Raw genomic sequence first — 27,759 nt, 5'->3', positions numbered from 1 at the left:
AAAAGGACTAGTATGGAAATTAAATCATGTTTATATAGGGAAGTCCCCTGCTGTTAAATCTATATTGATTTATATCCAACTGATATTGCAACAATAACCTAGAAGAAACTTGGATAGCTCTAGCTAATAAATTAGTTTGAAGACAACTTTCCAGACATATTACCAATCCTCCATCTTCTACTTTTCCCCCTCCCCTATCAGGAAAAAAAGCAGAAAAAAAATATTTCAATCTGTTTTTAGAACGGGCAATTTCTTTTAAATCAGGGCTCACTACAGATGTCCTAATAAGAGGTCATTGATTTTCTCGGGATAAAAGCAAAACCAACCCTGTTATTTACAAAAATAGAGTTAACATCATGATAACGAACCTACTCCGGATATACATCTAAAAATGAACACAGTTTGCAACTAGTGTATCAGTAAATTAATAAATATTTCAAATGTTGGGACACTACTTACTATTTACCAGTCAATTATCATTTTGATTGACAAATTGTATTTTCAGTGTTAGTTGTTAAATCTTATAGGAAAGTTCATGAAGAAAATACATGTTATGTTATTCAAAACTTTACGAACTCCAAATCAACTGGTGAAAAGTTTAAAACAGCGAGTCCTCCTCCTCGTGTTTTTCATTAGCTTAATTACAATGGCATTGCTGAAACACCAGAGATTGTGCCTTGAGCACAAACTCACCTTCGGTACTAGCAACCCTCTAACTGTCTGTCCACTGTGTAACCCCTTCACCTCATCCGATCTTGGGTTTTCATAGGCTGACATTCCTGTTTCAAAGTTTTGCTGCTGCATTTCCCTCCAGTTTTCAAGTATTTCTGTCCTCCAGGCCGAATGCTAATACCCGGACTGCGAAGGGTAAACCAAAACAGAGTGGGGTGCACCGAAGAGGCGCCGCCTTGCCTCCCACCAGTTTACATTCTCTTTCAACTTCCAAGCACTTGTAATACAACTCCACTAGGAGAGCCTTTTCCCAAGTCGGCGCCTGTGGAGCTCTCCAAATAACCAAGAAACAACTTCTCTGCTCAGCTGACGTGCTCTAGGGCTGTCGCCCCCGGCACAGTCCCGGAGAGCAGAGGGGCTGGGACACTGCTACGTGGAGTTCTCTCTGCCCCGGCCAACCCTCCAGCCACCGACTTTCTAAACAGATAGAGACACCAACTACGGGGGAAGGGGTGTCTCACCTCCTTCTTCCTCCTCCAGGGAGTTCATGCAGGGAAAGTAGCCGGCCAGTGCCTCGAAGGAGGCAGACAGGCTACTCCGGCTCTGGGAGCGCTGCATGGAGCGCCCCGCAGCGCTGGCACCCCCCAAGCCCTGCCGGCCCATCTTGGACGAGGACCCGCTTTTCCCGCGGTACAAGATACGCGGCGTCTTGGCGGCTGGGGCGCAGCGTCCGCAGCGGTTCCGGGACCAGTGGGCCAGAAGCCAGGTTGGTGCCACGGGACCCTGAGGCTCTGGCCCCTGCCTCCCTGACCCAGCCCGGAGGAGACGTGGCTTTCCTGGCCGCCGGGACCTCCAATTTATTGGAGAGGGGTCCAGAGGAGGAGATGGAGGCGGTGGCGGGCGGAGCGGCTGCTCGCAGTGAACGTCCGAGGTCTCGCCCGGGAGGGAGCTGAGAATCCTGGAGGCTGGAGCTGCTGGAGTCTCGCTGCCCTCCCCGCGCAGGGAGATGCCGCTGATGCTGCGGTCCCCGCCAATCAGCGGCCGGAGGGGGAGGTGGCGGCGCGGCTGCACCTCGGTGGGCTGGTGGCTCCGGGGCGCGCGCCTCAGGTCCCGGGCAGCTGCTCCGAGTAGCTCCTGCTGTTTCCTCTTCCCTCCGCGTGGTTAAGGCCAGGGAGTGGTGACTAATTAGATGCAGTGAGTTAGGCATCTCAGATAAGTAAACCGGTAAATTTCTGGTAGTCACTTTCCCTTTCCTCAGGTTCACAGTTTTTTTTAACGCTCCTCAAACACAGGCAAAAAATATTGAAATTTTCTTCAAGTCATGACACAAAGGCTCCTCAATTTTTACCAAGTTCCACGAAAACCTACAATTAAAGCTTTCTCTTTTACTCTCTTTGTTAAAAATGATAAAAAGTGAACTAAAGAAACCAAGAACCGATAAACACCAGCACTGAAAAGCACAATGATGTCTATCAAATTGTTTTAATTTTAGGAATTTTTATTGCCTTCTTTCTCTAAATTAAATAATCTACCCAGTATGGCTAAGAATGACAACATTGTACGGCTTAACATCTAAGCAAAAGGTATAACATCCTGTTAACACAAATTTGGAAACAACACAAACATACTAGGGCAAAGTAGTTTATAAGCAACATTACATGATGCATTCTGCAAACTGCACATCTCTATCCCGGAACCTAAAGCAACTTTAATTTCGTTTTCCCAGGAATCAGATGACTGCCTTACTTTTTGTAATCTGAGACAAGTCATCCCACCTCTGTTTCCCAATCTAGGGAAGTGGGAAGGTAGGGTACTATTCAGTCCTAACCCTGTCAAACATGATCACTGGGCGTGTGTAATAGGGGATTTCAACGTAAAATGTAAATTATGCAATCTAAAATGGTTCATTTATTCAATAAATAGTTCCTAGATAGTATATATGTACAAGTTACTTGCTTGATATGCTGAAAGATTCAAATACTCATTCAATTAATATTAATTGAGCTCCTAGTATATGCCAGGTACCATGGTAGATGTTTATATGATGCAACAGTGATCAAAGCAGCTAAAAAAAATCCCTGCTCTCATGAAGCTTACATTTTAGTTGCAGGGGAGAGACACGACAAATCAGTAAATTATATAGTGCTAAAAAGGAGATGAATGCAAATAAAAAGTTAAGAGGTATGGGACACTGCAATTCAAAAAGAGTTGTCAGGGTGGGTTCTCACTGACAGTATGACATTTGAACAGAGGTGTGAAGAACCTGAGGAAGTGGCTAGTCAGATATTCCAGGAAGAGAGTGAGTTTGAGGCAGAGAGAACCTCTAGTGCAAAGGCCCTGAGGTATGATGTCCTGGTGTGACCACAGAACAGCAGACAGGCCAGGGCAATTGGAGTGAGTGGGAAGGAGTGAAGGACAGAGAGACAAGAGTCAGAGAAAGACATAGGTCATACAGAGCCTTCTAGGTATGATAAGGACTTTGTTTGTCCATTGCACATCACAATTTAGAAGGTATGAAAAATGCATACAAGTAATAATCCTTTTAAATACACTTAAAATTAGGAAACTTTCAGTATAAATAAGAGTTCCATGGTAAGAAAAAGTAACAACTTTAGCTGTTTAGACTTAGGCTCATCCAGATTTATTGCTTTTGTTTTCCTGATAGACTTGTCCTTTCTCATTAATGTCCCTACAACTCTGTTAGTCCAATTTTCTTTTCGTTATTTATCTTCCTCAAATATCAGCATTTCAAAACAACATTGATAAAACCAGACAACTCTATGAGTACTTTTTCAAACCATATCACTTTTATTCAGAGACTAGAAAATTTTATTAAATGAGATTTTCATTATAAGAATCATAGAATTTTAGAAACTGCAAGGACTTTATTAAAAGTCACCTAATTTTTTTTAAACTGTGGGTCACAAATGAGTCATGAAAATAACTTATTAAGTTTTGATTAGAATTAAAAAAATACAATACAGTATCAGAGTTCAGCCCACATGGTTAGTGCATCAATTGCACTATTGTTTTATGAATATGTATGTTTATGTGTGTGCGCACGTATGTATTGAGCTGTGATGTAAAATGTGTTTCTCACTTTTGAAAAAGTTTGAAAAACATGAATCTAATGTAATAAAATACTTTATGTAAGAGAAAATTTAGATTAAAGGGTAAAACAAATATAGAAAATATATTTATATTTAAGAGGAAACAGCTGTTACCATACAAATCTAATTATACTCGGAGAAATGGGCAAGTTTACCAACCAGTCAGACTCTCCTAAAGATTAAGTTACTTGGTTAGAAAAATTTGAGTACTTTTGACTGGACATCCCTAACTTAAGATCGGGGGAAGGTATCAAGGAAGAGAGATTGAGCAGAGAATCTTAAAGAAATAAATTGGCAAGCTGAGCTCAGGTGGCTCATGCCTGCAATCCCAGCACTTTGGGAGGCTGAGGTGGGAGGATCACTTGAGCTCAGAAGTTCGAGACCAGCCTGGGCAACATAGTGAAACCTCATCTCCAGAAAAAGTTAACAGTAAAAATTTAGCCAGGTGTGGGGGTCATGCCTGTAGTCCCAGCAACTCAGGAGGCTAAGATAGGACAAAGGCTTAATTAAGCCTGCAAGGTTGAGGCTGTAGTGAGCAGTGATGGTCTCACTGCACTCCAGCCTGGGTAACAGAGTGGGATTGTGTCTCAAAAATAAAATAAAATAAAATAAAATAAATTGGCTGGGGATGCATGGAAAACTTTTATTTTGGCACTCAGGGACATCACAATGCTGGCTGAAAGTCATTTTGGAAAAAGATTTCTTGGGTTTCTGCAAGTGACTGCTGGGGATGGGGAGTCTGAGAACGGAATCAGTGGTTATGCCTGAGTTGCCTGGGCCCTGCCTTGTCTGTGTTAATAACCTGGTTTCATGAACCAAGAAGAAGTTAGTCTGGAATAGTCTAGATGTGTCTACTACATGACCACCACTTCCCTCCTGCAGCTTCAGAACAAGGTTGTCCTGGGAAGCTTTTTTGATATTTTTTTCCTAGGATCTTACAGATATAGATGAGTGACGGAAGAATGGCACAAGGTAGAGTAGAAAGAATGAAAGAGAAGGAAGAAAATAATCTTATTTAGGGGAAGAAAGCTTTAAGGAAAGAGTGTTGGCACAGAGGTACCAGAGAGACAGACCTTCAATAATGGCCAGAGACTTCTAGTCTTGAATGACAACTTGTGGAATATACTGAAATTATTGAGAAAATGTAGAATTCTACTTTAAAAAAAATTTTTATGTTCAATTGTTTTCCTATGTATAACATTATCTAAATAATATTTCTGGTTTATGTATATTAATAAGTTGATTTATTATTCCTTAATTCCATTCTAAGTACTGTCACCCCCTAAGGAATTTAAAAATTTACATAAAAATAAACTACTGATAAAAGATTGAAAATGTCCTTCCTTCACATCAGAATATACAAGTAGTATATGTAGTTTTGGATGTAGTTCTCAAGTAATGGGCTACTATATAATTTTATTACATAAAACTAAGTGTAATTCCAGAATCATTATCATCCAGTATTTCAAATTATTTATAACTTTCCAATTAATTTATAGAGAAAAAGTGAGTCACAAATATACACAATAAATTGTCATCTAAAAGCAAAACACGGCCTTGAATAAAAGACTGCACTATTAAACATAAAAATCACCTTTTTGAAGAAAAGATAAAACAGATATAACTTGGATAAACTATCATAGTATCATATTTGACAAGTGTGTACTCACATTTTTATAGATATGTTGTACTTTAGAGTTTATAAAACATAGTAATTATGCCACTTAATTCTTACATCAATCCTGACAGAATGTCATCATTATCTCTTTATAGATAAGACAATAAGTCAACATTAAATGACTTGCTTAACTACGAAGTGGCAGAGCAAGACTCAAACTCAGGGTTCCTGATTTCAGGTTCAGTGTCCTGTACATCATATTACAGATATCTTATACCACATATACTTTCATAAATCATAGATTATAAATATGATTTTAACTGTGCAGTAAGTTACTTTGTCCAAAATAAATGTCGACAATGCATCTGTAAAACCATAGTGATTACTCAAACTGTATACCAATGTTAAATCCATAATCTTTAAAAATAAAAACATTAATATTAAATAGCCATATATGTATTTAAGTCCCATCAATTCTAACAGGGCTAGAAAGTTACATGTCATTTATGTATCACTTTTTGTAATAGTTTTTAAAAAATCACCAGAGTTTTAAATTACGTGAAATTAGTTTATTCCTGAAATAGAGGTTTGATCACTTAAGTAAATACTCAGAAAGGTTGTTACATGAAGTAGCTCTATCATGTCTAGACCATGGATTAGTTCCATCAGGAACATGGTTACGCCTGTGGCAGCCTGCCCTTTTCTATGCTACAAATGATGTAAGCCAGGGGTCCCCAGCCTACCCTGAGCCACACAGTAGGAGGTGAGCAGTGGCGGGTGAGTGAGCAAAGCTTCATCTGTTCTGTATTTACAGCTGCTCCCCACTGCTTGCATTACCACCTGAGCTCTGCCTCACAGGAGTGCGAACCTTATTTTAAATGCACACGTGAGGGATCTAGGTTGTGCACTCCTTATAGAATCTAATGCTTGATGATCTGTCACTGTCTCCCATCACCCCGAGATAGGACTGTCTAGTTACAGGAAAACAAGCTCAGGGCTCCCACTGATTCTATATTATGGTGAGTTGTATAATTATTTCATTATATACAACAATGTAATAATAATAGAAATAAAGTGCACAATAAATGTAATGCCCTTGAATCATCCTGAAACCATCCCTTGCTCCTGGTCTGTGGAAGAACTGTCTTCGACAAAACTGTTTCCTGTTGCCAAAAATGTTGGGGACCACTAACGTAGCTGATGATGAGGAGAATGCAAACTGCTGGCTAATACCAAGGGAAGGGAAGAGAAAGAAAGTCCCTCTGGGAAGTAATGGAAAAAGAAAAAAAAAGCAGTAAGGCTCAGAAGTGGCTATGCTAAAAAGAAGTAGAAAAACGAATGCCTACTTCCATCACTATTTAAGTGTTTTCCAGTCAACTCAGAAAAGGCTAGTTGCTGAGAGAGACGGGAATTTCTCATGAAAAGTTATAAATCATGCTGCAGACTCAACTAACCTCTTTTCTTTTGATATACACTTGTTCTTGGTAATAGGAGGATTCATCAGTTGTGAAGATAGATACGATATTAGTTTTCACAACTGGTATCAATTACCTGTGACTGTGACTTAATTCCTCACATACAAGTGTCTTTATGCTAAATAGGAATATTTGTGGATATATTTTGGTTTGGTTTATTAAAAACCAACCCTCAGGATCCTAAATTATTTTACTTTATTTTTTATTTTTTGCTGTAATATAATATCATTGCATTTAAGTCATGAGCGATAAATCCATGAAGTTGATATTTTTAAACTGACTTAAAATTGCTAAAGGTATTTAATAGTCTTGAGAAATTACCCTTGATGTGAATATGAAATCCAAAATATATAATCTTTTCTTCCATCCCCAGTTTTATGTCAATATTGTACAAATAAATTTTAAGCTTTTGTGATTTCAGTTTTCAAAAGTATTTTTGGTTTTTACTCAGCAGGTTTCAAGAGTGAAGAGCAGATGTAATACTTCAGTAGCTGGTCGACCCGAAACTTTCATAAAAATTGATGAGGTCAAAAAACATTTGCAAGCTGGACACTTCAGCTCAGGCCTGTAGTCCCAGCATTTTGGGAGGCTGAGGTGGGTGGATTGCCTGAGCTCAGGAGCTCAAGACCAGTCTGGGCAACAAGGTGAAACCTTATCTCTACAAAAAATACCAAAATTAGCCAGGTGTGGTGGTGCGTGCCTGTAGTCCCAGCTACTTGGGGAGCTGAGGCGGGAGGATCACTTAGGCCCTAGAGGTCAAAGTTGCAGTGAGCCATGTTCATGCCACTGCACTCCAGCCTGGGTAACAAAGCAGGACCCTGTCTCAAAAAAAACAAAAAAACAAAAAAACAAGATATTCACAGTATGAGAAGAAAGATTAAATGATTAGTATTTTCATTATCTCTGCAATGAGATTTATGCTAATATATCCATGGAAGTTAACAAAATAAACTTATTGAGTAAGCTAAAAACTAATGGTAAGATTTAACTCAGGAATAAAGGGGAAAAAACTCTAAAGATCAAAATAATGAGTTATAAAAGCAGAGTAGTTAGATAATACAGGGGAAGAATAAATATCTGGATTCTAATTTTGATTATGGCCCTTTATAATAATGATGATGATAATAGGTTACTTTAGTTCTTCACATGCATTGTCTCATTTAATTTTCATAAACACTATATAAGGTAGTTAATTCCATTATTCTCATTTCACAGACAAGAAAATTGATGCATATTCCTTCAATAAATATTTCTTGAGTGCTTACCACATGCCAGGCACTATTCTAGTCACTGGGGATACAGCAGTGAACAAATACAGATAGAATCCTCCTCTACCTTCATGAAGCTCACGCTGTAGTGGAATAGTGGCTAACACTTACATCCCACTTACTATAAGCCAGGCCTTTTTCCTCAACAACTTTACTTACCAGCACATACACTCATTTAATACACACACAATCCTATGAGGGAGATATTACTATACTCTTTATATAGATGAGGAAACCAAGGCATATTGAGGATGTCTCTTGCTCAAGGTCACATAGCTTATTAAGAAATGAGATCAGGAATAAGCCCATGAAGTTTGAGGCACAGTGTTACAAATAAATTTGTCCAATGTCACAAGTAGCAAACCCAATATTTGAATCCAGGCCTTATGACTGCACAATCCATAATCTTTAATTGCTAAGTGACACAGCTGAAGAGACTCTACTGAGATCAACAATTAGACAATGAAACTGCTAATAAGAACTGTTGACCATGATAATAAGACCATGTTGCCCAGGCTGGTCTCGATTTCCTGGCCTCAAGTGACCCTCCTGCCTCAGCCTCCTAAAGTGCTGGGATTACAACAAGGAACTTTTAACATGATTAGTTCTGTTTTCTTATATGGCGTATTTATGTAAATCTTTATTTAGCTATCACCAGGAATCTAAAACTCTCACTGAATGTCTTCAAAAAGTTTTAGGAATCAGCATATGGGTATGAGTTCAGCCAAAATCACATGAACAACTCAGCCTCCAGACAAGATAGGAAATATATATTCATGAGATTTGCAATTCATTGCTATTTGGCCACCCATGAAAGTATATTTCCAAAAATGAAATATAATCAATCATAAACCAAACATTTTGAAGGATGTTTGGTAGGCAGAAAATAGGGACAAAGAAAACTGAAAATGGAAGTTTCTCTACCCTGCCCATAATAACTACTATATATGCCTATTTTTGATCTTTGAAAATGGGCAAGAGTTTGGGCTTCTCATGAGGGCTTCTATTTTTCCCAGTCTCCCTAGGGCAGTGGTAGTGGCAAGGATGGTTTCCAAGTTTAAGAAATTCCCTGCTCACGCATTCTGTTCCACTGTTCCAAGCAATGCTCCAGCTTTGTGATAAATTCATACAAAGTCTTCATGGCAATGTTAGAAGAATATCCTCAAACACTTGAGAAAAGAAGAAACATGTCTCCTATTATAATTTCCTTGAAATTCCAGATGAACATCACCTAGCAACTTCTTATATCATTATGAGATGAACAGCACTTTGAGATTTTGTGAGTGTAAACATTCTACACAAATATATGGCAAGATCTAAAAACTTTAAGTTTCAGATACCAATGTCAATAACTTTATGCAATATTTGTAAAAAGTTTGCATATTTACACTTTTCCTTATTTATTATTTATTCATTCACTATTCATTTACTCCTTACACCATAGTGTGACTAGAATAATATTAGGTATGAATGGAAAAATAAAAAAGTACCTTAACCACAATTAAAGTCTAATTCTTACTTGTTCCTTTTTTTCATTACTAGCCAAGCTTCATGTATTCATTACAACATTTATGGCAATAAAGACTTCTTTTGATTACCACTTTGTTCAACTAAGTCATATGTTAGTGGATATAAATGGTTATAAGTTGCTTATACTGCTTGATATGCTGACATAAAAATAGAAAATTTGGCATTTTTCATAGATTTTTTGCTTAACTGTCTAGTTGACTTTTCAAATTGCAGACACTTTATTTTTTATTATGTATGAAGACATAAGATTTGTAATAAAGTCATCTAAAGTTATTAAAGACCAAAGGCAGTAGAGAAGAGTGAGGGGTCTGTCAAAGCATTACAAATTGCAAGATTTTAAATAGCGTATTGGAAAAAAAGAGCCCACGGAAAACATTCATGTTATACAGATCCAGGTCAAACATCACCTAGATTGGGTATAAGTGGACTGTTGCTTGAACGTAGTTCTATTTGTAGCTTAGTATATTTGGTAAACAGTTAAGGCTGTGGGCAAAGTAGCCAACTCAGGAACCAATCTACGCAAGTCATCATCAGCTGATTCCCACTTAAGATACTCTGTTAAAGATGTCTCTCGGGCCTGGCGAGGTGGCTCACACCTGTAACTTTGGGAGGCCAAGATGGGCAGACCACTTGAGGTCAGGAGTTAGAGATCAGCCTGGCCAACATGGTGAAACCCTGTCTCTACCAAAAATACAAAAATTAGCTGGGTGTGGTGGTGGGCAACTGTAATCTCAGCTACTCGGGAGGCTGAGGCAGGAGAATCACTTGAACCCAGGCGGTGGAGGTTGCAGTGAACCGAGATCATGCCACTGCTCTCCAGCCTGGGTGACAGAGTGAGGCTCTGTCTCAAAGAAAAAAAAAATCTTTCAATAAGGGTTTGTCTGTCTTGTTGATATGAAACTTTATGATAGGAAATAATAATACAGATTAAACATGTTTTCCTCCTAAAATCCAATTCAAAATGGTTCCATATAATTTGCTTCATTTATACATCCACAATAAGGTGAGTGGCTCACGTCTAACAAGACAGAGGACTATTACCCAAGAAAAACAGTCTCAGTAAGAGGTAAATTTGTGGTATAAAACAGAAACTCTCTAATAAATACAAGTAATTACAAGGAGAGGCAAATCAGTATGTATTCTAATTAAGGGAAAATGCTGTAATGCTTCTCCTTGACCACTGCTTTATAACTTGGATTCCTCTGCTTGGCAACTCCTTCTGCACCTCAACTTTCTAATGGAATAACATTTCAAACCCCAATCTCCTTTCCCATACTTGACAACAAACTATGAAAAGACATTTGCAAAGGAGCCACAAGTCTTGATCCATGATTTACAGCCTACAATGTAACCAAATTAACAAACCCCAAAGCTATTCTATTTGCGGTTATTTCTCTTCTTCTTCTTCTTCTTCTTCTTCTTCTTTTTTTTTTTTTCCGAGGCAGAGTCTCGCTCTGTCACCAGGCTGGAGTACAGTGGCTCAATCTCGGTTCACTACAACCTCTGCCTCTGGGGTTCAAGCGATTCCCCTGCCTCAGCCTCCTGAGTAGCAGGGACTACAGGCGCGTGCCACCACGCCCAACTAATTTTTGTATTTTTAGTAGAGACGGGGTTTCACTGTGTTGGTCAGGATGAAGTCTTGATCTCTTGACCTCGTTATCTGCCTGCCTTGGCCTCCGAAAGTGCTGGGATTAAAGGCATCAGCCACTGCACCCGGCCCATTCATTTCTTTTCTATCTGTTCAACAGATATTAGTTGACCACTACTATTTCCCAGGCACTTTCTTAAGCTTGAAAGCAAAATAATGAGCAAACGGGAATGACTGCTTTTCCTCATAAAGTTGACAATGTAATGAGTAGACAGATGTTAACAAATAATCACAAAAATTAACTCATAATTATTGTTAAGTACCATGAAAGAAAACTGCAAAGTGTAATGACAGTGAGGACTTAATTGAGATAGGAATTTGGGGAAGTCACAGAAGGAAGAAGACTTTTCTTTTTGAGACGGGATCTTGCTCTGTTGCACAGGCTGGAGTGCAGGGGCATGATCTCGGCTCACTGCAACCTCTGCCTTCCAGTTCGGGCAATTCTCCTGCCTCAGCCTCCTGAGTAGCTGAGATTATAGGTATGTGCCACAATGCCTGACTAATTTTTGTATTTTTAGTAGAGATGGGGTTTCACCATTTTGGCCAGGCTGGTCTCAAACTCCTGACCTCAGGTGATCCGTCTCCCAAAGTGCTGGGATTACAGGGTTGAGCCACCGCACCCAGCCGAAGAAGACTTTTCTGAGAAAGTTTCTTTGATTGTGAGACTTGAAGGATAAATAGGGGTTTACAGGTAAAGAAAAAATTGAGTTAAAGATCTTACAGGTAGAGGGGACAGCATGTATGACGGAGAGCTATAACACACCCCCACCATACTCAACCATTTCTCATAGGTCTCAACACAGTTCTCAATGTGTCTGTGTAGCATAGTGAAATTGTCATCTCTTATGAGGAGAGTGTTCACTTTTTTAGGTCATTCAATCTAAGTTCCACTCAGTTATAATAGCACTAAATTACTGAAGTGGTTTATAAGACCTTTTAAAACCTAGCTTACTAATTAGTGAAGTACACAAATATCAGAGGAACAGAGTATACTGTTCTCTTGAGTAAAGAAATCATGATTTAGTTTTAGTTAAGAATGAACATGCGTGTGTGTGTGTGTGAGACTCAGGAAAGAGTAAAACAACAACAAAAATAACAAAAATTAAACTGCTCTTTAGAAGGTTCCAATGACTAGCTTGTTGTCACATCCAATGGGACTTTCAGGTCCTTATCTTATTTGCCCTCTGAGCAGCATTCCACAGAGTTGAACACTCTTTAATCTGAAATTATTATCTTCTCTTGACTTCCATAGGATTACATTCTTGTAAGTTTTCTTCCTATCTTTGTGGCATCCTCTTAAAAAAACCCTTGGCTGACTTCACCTCTTCTATCAAATGTACACCTCCAACACCTGTTGTAACATATCCTTCATGTTCAACTTTGGGCCCTCTTCTTTTATTATACATTCCCTCCAGAGGATATAATTTCATTTCCAGTTTTAAAAACCAAAAGCATTTACTCAAATGTAATTATCTAGCTTAGACCTCTCGTCTGAGTCTCAGAGCTGTCTACTTGACATTACCACTAGAATAACTCACAGACTTCTCAATCTACTCTCGATTTCTTTCCCACAGAAATTTACTTCTTTTCTTATTTTCCCTCTCTAAATAAATGACATCAGCAGCCAAATAGTTGCTCAAACAACAAAAATCTGGACATCCTCCTTTATTCCTTACTTTCCCTTACCGTGTGCCTCCTCTTGTCCAATCATCATCATAAAATTCTGTCGATCCTACTTCTAAAACAGATCTCATTACTATCCATTTCTCTTAATCCTATTCCAAGATACTTTCACTCTTGCCCCCAAGATATTCCTCATAAAGCAGCTAGGACTATCTTTAAAAAATAATCCAGTCACGCGCGGTGGCTCACGCCTGTAATCCTAGCACTTTGGGAGGCCGAGTTGGGCAGATCACTTGAGGTCAGGTGTTTGAGACCAGACTGGCCAACATGATGAAATCCCATCTCTAACAAAAATACAAAAATTAGCCAGAAATCACTTAAACCTGGGAGGCAGAGGTTGCAGTGAGCCAAGATTGTGCCACTGCACTCTAGTCGGGGCAACAGAGCGAAACTCTGTCTCAAAAAAAAAAAAAAATTCCACATTGGGTCATGTCACGAACCTCTTAAAAACCCTTCAATGTCTTATCTCTGCAATCAAAATAAAATACAAACACGTAGCATAACCTTGGAGGACCTGTATGTCTAATTTTATCACAAGTCGTACTCCCTGGTGATCACCAGACTGAAATCACAATGTTTTGTTCCTCAAACAGGCCAAATTATTTTCTGCTTCATGATCTTTTGTTATTGGTTTACTTCCCATTCCTATAAGGCCTTTCCTGGCAATCCAATCTAAAGTAGAAGGCCATTTTATTTTTTCATGTGGTGTCCTATTCTTTTTCTCATAAATATTATTGCAAGGTATATTTATAAATGTCTTTGTTTATATTTTATTCTCTTCCCACCCCTACTCGACTCTAACCTTTATTAGAAAAAACCTCTGTTTTATTCCCTGCTGCACACTTTCTCCCCATCCAGTGCCTAATATATAGAACATGTTATCTTGTTGAGTTAATGTAATAAAATAAATTAGATTTTGGGTGTGTGTCTCTAGTTTGGAATGATTTTAAAATCTAGGTCCTCAGCTGAAGTAGCACAATGTCCAACATGAAGAGGAAAGATTTCTTAAGTTTTAAGCCTATAATGTAAGTTTTATTTCAACAGACATAAGATTGCAGTCGATCATCTTACTCCCAACCCCAAGAATGTCTATGTCAGAGATACATTTTGTTCCTACATAATTGAACTGAGCTCCTTATTTAAAATATTAGGACATATTGCTTCAGGTTATACCATGTAGCACTGTTCTTGACAGGTCAATTTCTGTGAAAGAAATATAACTTGAATTAGAAAAAGAAATGAGCAGCCTGCCACTGTGCAAAAGTCAGATGGAAAGGCCCTGTGATACTGCATTTCCACACAATAATCCAGAAGTCTATGGGCAAACACGGATGTGCCTTCTGAATTTTTATGTAGATTTATGGCACTCCCAAAAGGGTCCCAGAACAACATTTTAAAAAAGAGAGATATGTGTATGTAGAGATCAGGAGAGGAATAAATCCTTTGCATAAATACCTTTTTCAATTTAAAAGAATCTCCTTTAATTTTCCTAGAGAACACTCTGACTCAAAGTATAGGGCCCTCCTTCCAAACAAACAGCCAGTGAAATTCCAAAGTACAGAAGAGGTAATAGACACTTAATATTTTATGCAGTGTAATATTTCTACCTGTAAACTCTTCTTGAACAATTTTCAGTGATGAAGATTTGTGGTTTTAATTAATAAATAATTATTCTTACTATGATGTCAAAAATTACCTCACTGTAAAATCCAGAAATTGGTTCTAGCTGTGCCTTCTGTAATTGTAAAAAAGTCCTCTTTCATGGGGGAGCCTTAAAATATTTAAAAGACTTCATTTTACTTTCTCCACAGCTTTCTGTTTTCCAATTTTTTCCTTCTACCTTGTTTTTGGTGTTTCTACGTATACAAAAAATTTGCAGGTCATTTGGACTTTAGCCTTTGTGGTATTGTACTTATAGTTCTACATCATTTCCCTTCATAATTTGCCTGAATCTTTCATTGCATGTCCCTCTGTTTCTCTTTCATTCTTTGGTATTTAAAAATACGTAGTGATTGCAAGCTCCCTGCTCAGCCTAAAATGGTTTCTTATATATCCCTTTCCCTTACTTTTTATAGACTCAATTTCATTTTTTATTATATATGTCAGGATTGTATTTTTAAGCTTTTTCTACTACTCAAGTCTAACTATTGAGTCAAATCAGTATAACTGCAACTTTAACACATTTCCAGTTTGTGTCCTTCAAACATACATGCAAGAAGTTTAATTCCTCTTCTGCAAGATAGTCTATCAGATATTTCATTTATTTAACAAAATTTTTAGGCACCTACTATCTTAAGTACTTCAGGCACATTAGTATACAAAACAAAGATCCTTGCCCCCTAAAGCTCATATTCTAGCAAGGGGAAACAGACAACAAACAACAAACAAAATAAGCCAGTGAATTTATACAGTAAGATGAAAGATGAGTGTGATTGAAAACAACAACAGTATAGCACAGTAAGGGAGTGGTGGGAGGTGATAGTCAGGGTGTTCCTCACCAAGAAGGAGATATTTGAGCAAAGTCTTGAAGATAGTTCTCTTGTTCCTCTAAGCCTATTGCCTTCTCTTCCTTTATTTTATTACCAACTTCTTCCTACAGATTTTTTTAGCACCTACAATGTGTGAGGCAATATAACAGGTCTTAGAGATTAAAAGATCCATGAGAGAGTCTATTTCCATTATTAGCTCACAGCTAGTAAAGGCAGAACCATAAAACAAATATCCCTATGTGTTAAGTGTTGTAATAAAAGGGTGAACATAAATTATAGAATTGGAAGTAATTAATTCTGCCTGCTATATTTTGATTACTTTTGAAATCTAGGGAAATGTGGTCTCCTTCTCCCAAGATTTCTAACACTTGCTCCTCTCCATCAGTTCTTTGTTGTTCCTATGAGTCTAGACAGACAGTAATCCTGATTATCCTCAAAAAGACTTCTGCAAATGTATAGATATTTAAAGCTTTCTAATTACCCCATTTTGCCTCTGTAGTAGTTTTATGACCTGTTTCTAAGGAAGTATTTTATCTTCTAGACTGTATTAAATCTTAAAATTACGTAATTTTTCTTTTCAGCTTCACTTAAATGCTGTGTACTTGGCTTCCTTTGTCAAGTTCATGGAATTTCGGGTCCATTTAAAAGTGTCTATCAGGCTGGGCGTGGTGGCTCACGCCTGTAATCCCAACACTTTGGGAGGTTTTTCAAGCCTCAGTTTTACCTCTAAAATTATATTTACATCTTCATGTTCAAATTTCAGGTTTTCCTTCTTTATTATCCCACAGGACTTCCCTGTAGTATTTGGTTCCTGCTATTTACTCTAAAAAGTCCCTGAGCACCTTTGTCCATTGTGGTTTCTCTTGTTATGTCATACTGATACCCTTTACAGAAAGTATTCTTCATTTTTTTTTTTCTTTTTTTTTGAGATGGAGTCTCACTCTGCCACCCAGGCTGGAGTGCAGTGGCTCGATCTCGGATCACTGCCACTTCCGCCTCCCGGGTTGAAGCGATTCTCCTGCCTCAGACTCCCGAGTAGCTGGGATTACAGGTGCCCGCCATTGCGCCCGGCTAATTTTTGTATTTTTAGTAGAGACAGGGTTTCACCTTGTTGGCCAGGCTGGTCTCGAACTCCTGAACTCAGGTGATCTGCCCCCCTCGGCCTCCCAAAATGGTGGGATTACAGGTGTGAGCCACTGTGCCCTGCCTAATATTCTTCAATTTTAAATAGACCTTTTCTTCCTCTCATACTTCAGTTTAAAGAACTACTTAAAGGTCAGTCAATTCCTACCAAACGTATTTTTCAAGGTCTCATGAAATGTACTATATCTCTGGCCAGGAATATTTCATAACAGCATCATAATCCAGTGCTTGTTTAACAAAACAATCACTTGTTAGAAGAAGACTTTAAAACTTACACTTGCTAGCTGGTCATGGTGGCTCATGCTTGTAATCCCAGTATTTTGGGAGGCTGAGGCAGGAGGACTGCTTGAGCCCAGGAGTTTGAGACCAGCTGGGGCACCATAGCAAGATCCTGCCTTAAACAAAAATAAAATAAATAAAAAACTACACTTGCATCCATGAAGAACCTGTGTCTCATTTATGCAGTGGGCCACTATTACCGAATATTATTCACAAATATATATAATATATATTATATACATATATATATATTTTTTTGAGAAGGAGTTTTGCTCTTGTTGTCCAGACTGTAGTGCAATGGCGTGATCTTGGCTCACTGCAATCTCTGCCTCCTGAGTTCAAGCAATTCTCCTGCCTCAGCCTCCCAAGTAGCTGGGGTTACAGATGCCTGCCACCAGGCCCAGCTAATTTTGTGTGTGTGTGTTTTTAGTAGAGATGGGGTTTCACCACGTTGGCCAGGCTGGTCTCGAACTCCTGACCTCAGGTGATCCACCTGCCTCGGCCTCCCAAAGTGCTGGGATTACAGGTGTGAGCCACTGTACCTGGCCCACAAATATATTTTATGGACAATATTATGCACAAGTATATTTCATCCTAGGGAATATTATGTTCCCTGGTTGAAAAGAAGCAGGGATAGGCTCAGGAACCTCAGGACCATGACATAGAAAGCTGGATATTATTATTCTACTCCATCTACAAAGTCATTAAGAATATATTAAACTGGATTTAAATTTTTTAAAATGTATTTTAAATGTCACCTCTCATGTCCACTCTAATAAAATCTTCCAGTCTCTATTTGCTAGCTCTGCAGCTGGACAAAGACATTGGTTATCCATGATGGAAAAATGGGCTGGGCGTAGCAGAAATAGGTAGGCCTAGATATTAGTCATCTTAAAACAAGACAAATTATTATGAACCTCCATACATACTTTTGGGTCTTTGGCAGACATTTCAAACCTTATATGTAAAAAAAGAAGCCTGTTTTTTTTTAATCCTAGTCTCTCATTAACTAGATATCTCTTTAACAGACATTTGATTTTAGGCAAATTTAATCTCTCTGTCCCTTGGTTTCTTTTCTAAAAAGAGGTCAGACAACTTCTCTGTCCTGTCTATAAAGATCACTGAGCTCCCTTCCAGCTTCAATAGCTTGCAGTTTTAAACTTTCTGCTTTCTTCCATACAGAACTACCTTCTATCCCTCCCTTGTAAGACACAGGAATATATGAAACTCTCTGGAAGCTAGGCCTCCCTACTCCTTGGGACATATTCCAAACAGTCTGGTCAGATGTTTACTTACTCTTGCTCAAAGGGACATTATGACACAGTGGTTAATGGTGTAAACTCAGGAATCAGACAGGCTTGGGTATATGTCCCAGCCTTCACACATCCTAGCTGTAAGCCATGCTTGGGCAATTGCTTAAAATCTCTATACTTGTAAATAGGAGATAATAGTAATAACCCAATAGGTTGTTGTGAGAATTACTTCATTTAACAGTGAATACGAAGCCCCCAGTACAATGCGTGGTACATAATGAGAACTCAGGAAGTATTATTATCATCATTATATTTTATATTATTTTAAATGGATAATTTAATGGTATATTCTTCTGACACTGATCCAAGGCAACATCTCCCATGATATACATCTACAAAAATGCAAAGAATGTATTTCCTTTTAATGCAGCTAACATATTGCTGAACAAAGCCTTGGTCACAGTTTGAATTTTTTGTTTCTAAAGTTCAGAGAGATACGAATTTATATTAACTATAATTCAGACCATGCAAAAATTAATATCCCTTTTCAACTTTCATATAAAGTGCTAATAACATTTCCAAACACAAGAATAAAAATAACTCAATAACCCCTCTCTGTGACTTTTGATAAAACAAACTTTGACAATTACAGAAACCAGTGAATCATGAGGCAACCTAAAATTTTATGTTATTATGGTAGATTACAGGGTCTTTATTATATAGGACTTCCTTTTCCTCTTCATAATATAAATAAGCAGTTCTTGGCTGGGCACAGTGCTTCACATCTGTAATCCCAACACTTTGGGAGGCCAAGGCAGGTGGATCACTTGAGGTCAGGAGTTTGAGAATAACCTGGCCAACATGGTGAAACCCCCTCTCTACTAAAAATATAAAAATCAGCCGGGCGTGATGGTGCATGCCTATAATCCCAGCTACTTGGGAGGCTGAGGCAGGAGAATCGCTTGAAGCCGGGAGGCAGAGGTTGCAATGAGCCGAGATCATGTCACAGCACTCCAGCCCTGGTGACACAGCGAGACTTCATCTCAAAAAAAAAAAAAAATTCAAATAAATAAGCAGTTCTCGATGATGAGTGTGCCTGATAATCACCTACAGAGCTGCTTCTGCTGCAGAGACTTTGATTGACCTATCAGGAAATTTGTATTCTTAACTATCACTTTAAGTGATATTAATATAGGTAGACCTAAAAACACACACCAATAAACACTGGTATAGAAGGCTTCTGATCTGTAAGAACTCACAACTTAAGTTATGACGAATAGGGAGGTAGGTGCACATGTATGTGCGCGCACACACACACACACAGACACTTCACAAAATTTTTATTGTGAAGTGTCTATGTGTTAGTTGTTCACAGCTCATAAACCATTTTCAAAAAATTACAATGTAAATCAAAATGTCATTCATTTCCTAGGTCATCTCTGGCAAACACTCAAGCCAGAAAGTAATTACATTATATTTAATACAGTATCAGTTTGTGTTCTGATTCTGGAATCCAGTAATTATATAACACAGGAGGGAGAAAGAGAGAAGAGGAAGAAAATTTAAAAATGAGAAAATAGAAGAGGGTTTACTTTTCTATTCTTTAGCACAATGAAAATCCTAAAAACACTCTGAAATGGGAAAAAGGTATAGTTTTCACATTCCTAACAAATTTTCTTCATTGCTTTCTTATCTCCCTACATCTCTGAACATCTCCAGATGGCTAGATCTGGAGATAAAGGTAAACTCTGTCTCTCACTTTAGTATGTCACCAAGGATGATGCCCAAAGTCTTCAGAAATTCCAAAACCATTAGCTCCATATCCTCCCTCCTTCAATTAAGACTTCTGCTCCTAAAGTATTGGTAATCTTAGGTTTGTTTAGCATTAAAACAAACTGGTGGAGTCTATTCATCTTTCAGAGATATTCTTATTTTCAAACAATAGCCTTAACTGGTCAAATTTCAGGGACTGTTAAAAGTGCATTTAAAAAACGTATAGGCAAACTTATAGAGGGGTTGTAATCTGGAGCTGGTTAATTTCCTTATATACAAGCCTCTTACAGGATTCTTCTCTAGGCTCAGTTCTCCTGAGTACTAGCTTTGTCATAGCTTCTCTCTTTCCTCAAACAAAACACACTCATAGATTTGCTAAAAATGTCAAGTAATTTTTTTTTGTTTTTGTTTTTAAATCAGGTGCTCTAGAGGTTGAGGTTGAGGAATTGAGGTCAGTTTTTCAGACAACTGTTTAATATTTTTATGAGCACTCTCTGTAAATTTTTTAATATAGTCACAATTAATACTGTCCATAGAAATTTAACACCAGCTTCTGTACAACACCCCTGTAAGGCAGAGGAAGAACACCATATGCAAATACTACACACTAAAATAACAGCATCATGTTAAGACAGGTTTTCGATTAAGTAAAACTAAGCTTGGCAAAGCAGCCATCTCAAGTTAATCCCACATTCAGGACTAAAGGTTTATTACCTAGTTTGCATTACTTCATGATTATAATGTGAATATCACGAAGATTATTAACACGTAACATGCACTTACAAAGTTCTTAATTCTCCTCTAACATTGCATATATAGATAGGTTCACAATGTAGAATACTGTACACCATATATATGTATATTTTAATGTAAGTTCATATGATAACAACTGCCCACAGGTTTTATGGCCAAGTGTACTCAGGGCAAATTTATGTTCCAAAATTATTTTGCTGTGTTTTATCTAGCATTTTTAATGTGGGTGGAATGGCGGGCAGAGAGTTCTTCTGCATCAACTATTTCTGCTATAGCCACATGGGGCAACTTTGTAGACTTAGGAACTGTCAGTTAAAAATATTCAAACTATTGGCTTTGCCTCATCCCTTTACTCAATTGAGAAGTAGCTGTAGCCATTCTTTATAAAAGTCACCAAAGCAAAAAACGTTTGAATGTTTCAGAAATAGTTTTTAATGGATTTATTGCTTCAATTGTTTTATTTAGTGTAATTAAAAGAAATAAAAAGTAGATCAGGCACTGTGGCTCACACCTGTAATCCCAGCACTTTGGGAGGCCAAGGCAGGTAGATCACTTGAGGTCAGTAGTTTGACACTAGACTAGCCAACATGGTGAAAACTCATCTATACTAAAATTACAAAAATTAGCTGGCAGTGGTAGTGGGTGCCTGTGATTCCAGCTACTTGGGAGGCTGAGGCAGGAGAATCGCTTGAACCCAAGAGGCGGAAGTTGCAGTGAGCTGAGATTGCGCCACTGAACTCCAGCCTGGGTGACAGAGCGAGGCTCCATCTCACAAAAAAAAAAAAAAAAAAAAAAAAAGTACAGTGTCTAGTCCCATGTCTAATAACTCCTAAAACTTGTATTAAAAATTCAATTGGTTTTAAATGATCCTAAGTTGCTCTCTTCACTTAGTGTCTTCACTTAGAGATCATTTTAATAGGTTTCTGTGTTTGGGTCATAATATATTTATGAGACACGACATAACTAGCAGTTTAAGAAATTTACTATTTTAAAAGCTTTTTCACATATCTTTTCCAATTTAATTCTTTTCTGCACATAATACATGATAACATTTTTGGTATAAAAATATATTAATTTTATTTTCCTGAAAATTCATTTCTGATAAAATAACTTGATATTTTATACTAAATGTATTACTACTATAAATGTTTTCATGTTTCTAGGCCTGATAAATCATTTTATATTTGCGGGGCTGGGAGGAATGACAATATCTTACATTTGAAAATGTCTTGAGAAAGTACTAGTATAATCTGTCTATGAATACAACTTCACGTGAAGAGAATCAATTACACTTCTCTTCTAAATATTTAGGAAACATACTTCCCAACATCTTGTACTTCCAGGGTCATGAGAGTCTTTAAGTGGAGACACTATCCTTTACATTTTATTCCATACTTATTCCTACTTAACTGGAGAAAAATTATTGTGATTTATATCTCTTCACATGTGTTATGGGATTAAACAGTGTTCCTCCAAAATTCATATGTTGAAGTCCTAACCCCTAGTACTTCAGAGTATAATCATATTCACAGATAGTATTTAAAGAGGTGATTAGGTTAACAAGGCATTAAAATGGGGCCCTAGCCCAATATGACTGGTGTCCTTAAAAGAAGAGACAGCAGAGATGGACTGGAACAGAGGAAAGGCCATGTGAAGAGGTAGCAAGAAAGTGACCATCTGAAGCCAAGGAGAGGGTCTCAGAGGAAACCAATCCTGCTGGACGCTTGATCTTGAACTTCCAGTCAGCCTCAAGAACTATGAGAAAATTAAATTCCTGTTGCTTAAGCTACCTAGTCTGTGGTACGTTTTTTGTAAAGTATGCTTCAAGATAAAGTGTCCTATAATCTTTAGCTTTACAGTGCTTTCAAAAGCTTTCACCAGTCTCTTTTAAAAACTTTAAGGAATTTACTTAGGATTATTTAGATCTATTCTAAGATTTTAAAAAACATCTTGCACAATTTTGCTGTCCTAATATACCACGTCTCTTTGTATGATAAAATTCAGCTGTAAAGTGAATTTCCATAAGTTAAATATGTCCTAAGTACTTCTGCTCTTTTAAAAATTGGTATGTCTATACTAATTCTGAGTATCATGCTTTCAGTTTAAACAAAGGTAAATTATTTATATAATCTCTTAAAAACCACACTTGTTATTGCATTTTTACATATGTAAGACTTCAAGTTTCCTAAAAGCAAAAATTTTATTTTAATAATGATGTTATTCTAATTCCCAGGGCCTACCACAATGATCAGCTCACTGATTTGCTTCTAAGGACGCTATTTTATCTAAACAAATTGTAATAAAGAAACTACATTATTACCAACAGGCATACTTCAACTCTTATTTCATTATTCTTCTACAGAAAATATTTTAAAATGAAAACTGTTAATACTAGCTTCTACAATAGAGCTGAATGAGTCATCTGAATACTATTACTGTGGATTGTAGCTTTTGAAATTAATTTTTCTACATTAGCATCCTAAATCATTACAAATTCTATTTTTGATATTTAGAAAGCTCTACAAAATGGAATTATAACTCGTTCAAATCACCAAAGAAAATAGATGCCCCGAACCCATTTTTATATCTCCACTTATCAGGAAGCAAATCAAAAGTGAACATGTTTCTCATTTCATCATTTAAAGGGTTCAGTACTAGAAGCCTGGATAATTTTTTAAGACAGAATACACTAAAAATTAACTGTGTAATTTTCTAGCTACTTAATTAAATATAATAGAAACATAAAATCTTACATTTCTAAAATGTCTCAATCCAATATCATTTAAATCTATGATGCCGAATTTTTTACATTCCTCGATTATGCATTAGCTTTTATGACTATATTCTTCTCTTAGATATCATTAATGACATATATTTCATTGAAGAGACTTAAAACTTATTTTGAGAATCTTTTTAGAATTTTTTGATGGTTCTGAAAAAATATAGAAACCTTAAGTTGTTACAAAATTAGCTTGGAAAGCCCTGAATTCTATGCAGCAATTAAAAATTTCCCACAAAAAGAATAAGACAAAGCACCTACATCTAATTATGTTTTAAAAATTACTTCCTATGTTAGGATTAAAACTTTGTCTCAGCCTTGAGTACACATAGACACAAAGATGGGAACAATAGACACCAGGGCCTACTTGAGGGGAGAGGGTGGGAGGAGGGAGAGGGTTTAAAAAACTACCTATTGGGTACTGTGCTCACTATCTGGGTAATGAAATCATTTGTACACCAAACCCCAGTGATGCAATTTACCCATGTAACAAACCTACACGTGTACCTTCTGAACCTAAAATCAAAGTTGAGAGAAAAACAAAAACAAAAACAACCTTTGTTTTAGTACACATTGGCTAGGTTTTGTTGATGTTGTTTTTGAGACAGGGTCTCACTGTGTCACCCAGCAGGAGTGCAGTGGCAAGATCATGGCTCACTGCAGCCTCGACCTCCTGGGCTCCAGTGATCTTCCCGCCTCAGCCACTCAGGTAGCTGGGACTACAGGTGTGTGCCATGAGCATTGCCCAGCTAGTGTTTCTGTGTTTTTTCTGTAGAGATTGGGTTTCACCATGTTGCCTAGGCTGGTCTCCAAGTCCTGGCTTAAGTGATCCACCCGCCTTGGACTCCAAAAGTGCTGGGATTACAGCGTGAGCGCCACGCCCGGCCTCTCACTGGCATAGTTTTAAGGTAAAAATGACTGTTGACCCTGGCACCAACTCATATTTAAAAATACATATGTTAAGTATTCTTTCTTTTCAATTTCCAATCCTCATGCCCTTGCCCTAGACCTTACTACTTTGTGTTTGGATTCCTTCACAGTCTGCTCACTGGCATTCCTGCCTCCAGTTTCTCCCTTTTAATCCTTTCTAGACATCTCTGCCAGATTTATTTTCCTAGAATATATATATTTTAAAATAAGTTTCTAAGGAAAACAACAACAACAAAAAACTCTTAAGTGAACTGATAGGACAAAATCTAATCTACCAATCTTGGAATTCAGGGCTTCCAATCAAAGATCTTTCCAATTTTACTCCTACTTTTCAACACATACAGTTTTAACTAAGTCTCTCTATTTGCTACTCCCCTCCCCACCCAACATACCTCTTTGCTTCTCATTTCTTATTTCTCTTCATTTGGATCCATTAGTAGGGTGTAGAATGCATCTTCCTGTCCAAAGCTGCTTCTTGTCAGAGTTAAGCCCTGCCCTGACCATTCCTATATCCTGGGGCCAAAAGCTATTTGATTCCTCATGCTCTTAGCCTCTGGACCTTCAGAATCATGACAGGGTTTCTAGTCTGACTCATAATACTGCCATTTCTAGGCAATTTCATTTGTCATGCCATTCCCTACCTCCTTTCCCCAAGTAGGACCCAGGTTCATCATATTCCTCTTTAAAGCACACTTTAGACTTCAAGTCATGGTCCTCAGGAAGGAGGCCCAACTCCATAGCATTTCCAGCGCCACCCAGTTCAAGTTTCTTTCCTCCCAACCCTAGGCTTATGGTCCCAGCAGCCTTGCATATACGGAGCCTGTTAAAGACATTATTGTGTGCCGCTCATAGAATGTTCTCCTGCATCTCTGCTTATTGATATACTGTCTGTCCTTCAAGATTGAGTTCAGTTCCACCAGCTCTCTGAATCCCCTGAACCACAGGCATGCCTTCCTACTCTGAAATTCCTTTCTCTTACTCATTCTTTGGGAATTTATCACACACTACCTGCTGAAGGAGTTAAAAATGTACCAGTCTGGCATACTGACGATTTCAGTTAAAGACACTTGAGTGGCAGCCGGTGGAAAAGATCACTCTAACAGTGCTGTTTCTTAAAAATAGAAGATGAAATTCCCATGTGAAAGATTCCCTCCCTTTACATCTTAACATCAAGAATGGGAAATTTAAACCAAGAAAATCCTATATAGATCTTGTTAAAATAGGCCGGGCGTGGTGGCTCATGCCTGTAATCCCAGCACTTTGGGAGGCCGAGGTGGGCAGATCACAAGGTCAGGAGATCTAGACCCTCCTGGCTAACACTGTGAAACCCCGTCTCTATTAAAAAATACAAAAAATTAGCCGGGCGTGGTGGCGGGCGCCTGTAGTCCCAGCTACTCGGGAGGCTGAGGCAGGAGAATGGTGTGAACCCTGGAAGCGGAGCTTGCAGTGAGCCGAGATGGCGCCACTGCACTCCAGCCTGAGCGACAAAGAGAGACTCCGTCTCAAAATAAAATAAAATAAAATAAAATAAAATAAAATAAAAGTTATATTTTAAGCCTCCCTCCATAATTTAGTTGCTTCTTCATAGTTTACTATTCTTTGTCCAATTCATTATATAAGTAACTGACTTTAAGTGCTTCTTTGGGTCATTTCCTTATGAAAGTTCCCCTGCCATGTAAAACTTGTATTAAATAAATTTGTGTGCTTTTCTCCTATTAATCGATTTAATATCAGTGTAATTCTTGGGCCCATCCAGGACCCTAAGAAGATGGTGGTGGAATTTTGCTCCCTTGGCAGTCTCTGGTGACGAGGACTGGACCTAAAAGGCTGGGATACTCCACTCACTCCAGAGCCTGAGGATGGGATCCTAGGAGAACTGACAAAAGCCAGAAGGTAGAAATTCCTACCAAAATCAGCTCTCCTGGATCTCTGTCTGGAATGCCTCGTGGAGAGAGAAAAGTAAATATTTTTCTTTGTCTCTTCCTTTCCTAATCTGGATTGGCAGGAGAAAAACATTTGTAAGAATTAGTTATTTCAATTGTGACTCTTGTGAATTTGGTTCTGGGTACCCATTGGTTATTGATCCACAGCCTCCTAGAAATAATCATTGTTTTCCTTGCCTCTGTCTTTTGTGTGGTTTCTCATAAGGAGGAAAATAATAGAATAAGATTCTCCTTCTGTCTTGTTTTATGTCTTGAAAACTAGACTTTGTGAGCTGTGAAAATATTCTCTCTGGTCTTCACCATAACAGGGGCACAAGTTCTCAGGCTTGCATCAGGCAGCTAGCTAGCTGGCCAGGGGTCTGAAACACGGAGTGTCTCTTTTTGCGACTCTGCCAGCACTCAGAAGAATTTGTCTTAATTGTCTCAACCTTTGTTGCCTTGTTAACATTGAGTGTCTTTGTTTTTTTAGCAAAAACTTTGGATCTTGAGGCGAACCGCATCCTTTGTACCATCTTTGGGATAAAATGCATGCATCCGTAATTATGTCATAAAAGGATTATTGATTTTGAACCATAAAAAGGCTTATTGGTTTTGAATCACAATTAACATAGGTATACTTTTGAAGATTTTGACTGTTGTATTTAAAGTTTTTAAAAAATTTTTATTTTATTATTATTATTATTATTTTTAGAGAGCTCACATCCTAAGCAATTGCCTCATTGGTACCTATGTAAAGATTAAATTAAAAAGAGGACACAAAAAATGTGATGGCTAGCCTTAGGGACACCCTTAGCAAGATTAAATAGAAATCAGACTTAGAACAAAAGCTAAAATCCACACCTGCAAAAAATTCTCCTTTTCCATCCACCTATACCCCCCTTAACCTCCAACTCTCTGTCCCTGACCACCAACCCCAGAAGATCCTCTGGCACTCTGAGTCCCTGGCTTAAACCACCCTCGCAAAATCCAGTCCCATCTCCTCAGACCTCAATGAGTTTTAAGTTTTCAAGATCATGTGATCTGGGGTAATCTTTGATAAATAAAAAGTTAGTTTAAATGTGTTAGTTTAAATAAAGAAGGTTTGTCTTCAGAGTTGTCAACCTTAAACATGATGCAGACATACAACTTATTCTACCTGAATTTACCAATAAAATTGCTTATGTTGGCCAGGCACAGTGGCTCACGCCTATAATCCTAGAACTTTGGGAGACCCAGGCGAGTGGATCACTTGAGGTCAGGGGTTCAAGGCCAGCCTGGCCAACATGGTGAAACCCCATCTCTACTAAAAATACAAAAAATTAGCCAGGTGTGGTGGTGGGCACCTGTAATCCCAGATACTTGGGAGGCTGAGGCACAGGAATTGCAAGAACCCAGGAAATGGAGGTTGCAGTGAGCCAAGTTCACGCCATTGTA

General features: G+C 38.0%; 1 protein-coding gene across 66 annotated transcripts in view, besides 1 other annotated feature; it reads right to left on the bottom strand.

Annotated features, from left to right (window-relative positions):
* RIMS2 (regulating synaptic membrane exocytosis 2) overlaps positions 1–27,759 on the bottom strand; it is a 755,485-nt gene that overhangs the window by 31,108 nt on the left and 696,618 nt on the right. Inside the window, exon 1 of one of the 66 annotated variants that reach the window (NM_001282882.2) lies at positions 1,194–1,653. The exons of the other annotated variants lie outside the window; for them this stretch is intronic. Coding sequence (NP_001269811.1) covers positions 1,194–1,335 — 142 coding nt within the window. The 5' untranslated portion in view covers positions 1,336–1,653. Of the gene's footprint in view, positions 1–1,193; positions 1,654–27,759 lie in introns of those variants that run through there. 66 annotated transcript variants of the gene reach the window in all.
* Positions 16,977–17,130: a silencer, noted in NCBI's record as "fragment chr8:105220085-105220238 (GRCh37/hg19 assembly coordinates)". NCBI's record gives its function as "represses an EF-1alpha promoter that drives an FKBP-Casp9 reporter gene in an ReSE screen in K562 erythroleukemia cells {active_cell/tissue: K562}" and the evidence as "EXISTENCE:reporter gene assay evidence [ECO:0000049][PMID:32094911]".

Source organism: Homo sapiens, chromosome 8, assembly GCF_000001405.40.
Source record: "Homo sapiens chromosome 8, GRCh38.p14 Primary Assembly".
In the NCBI taxonomy this organism is placed as follows: Eukaryota; Metazoa; Chordata; class Mammalia; order Primates; family Hominidae; genus Homo; species Homo sapiens.
The sequence above is the reverse complement of the archived record's forward strand: the minus strand, read 5'-3'. Positions and strand labels throughout refer to the sequence as shown.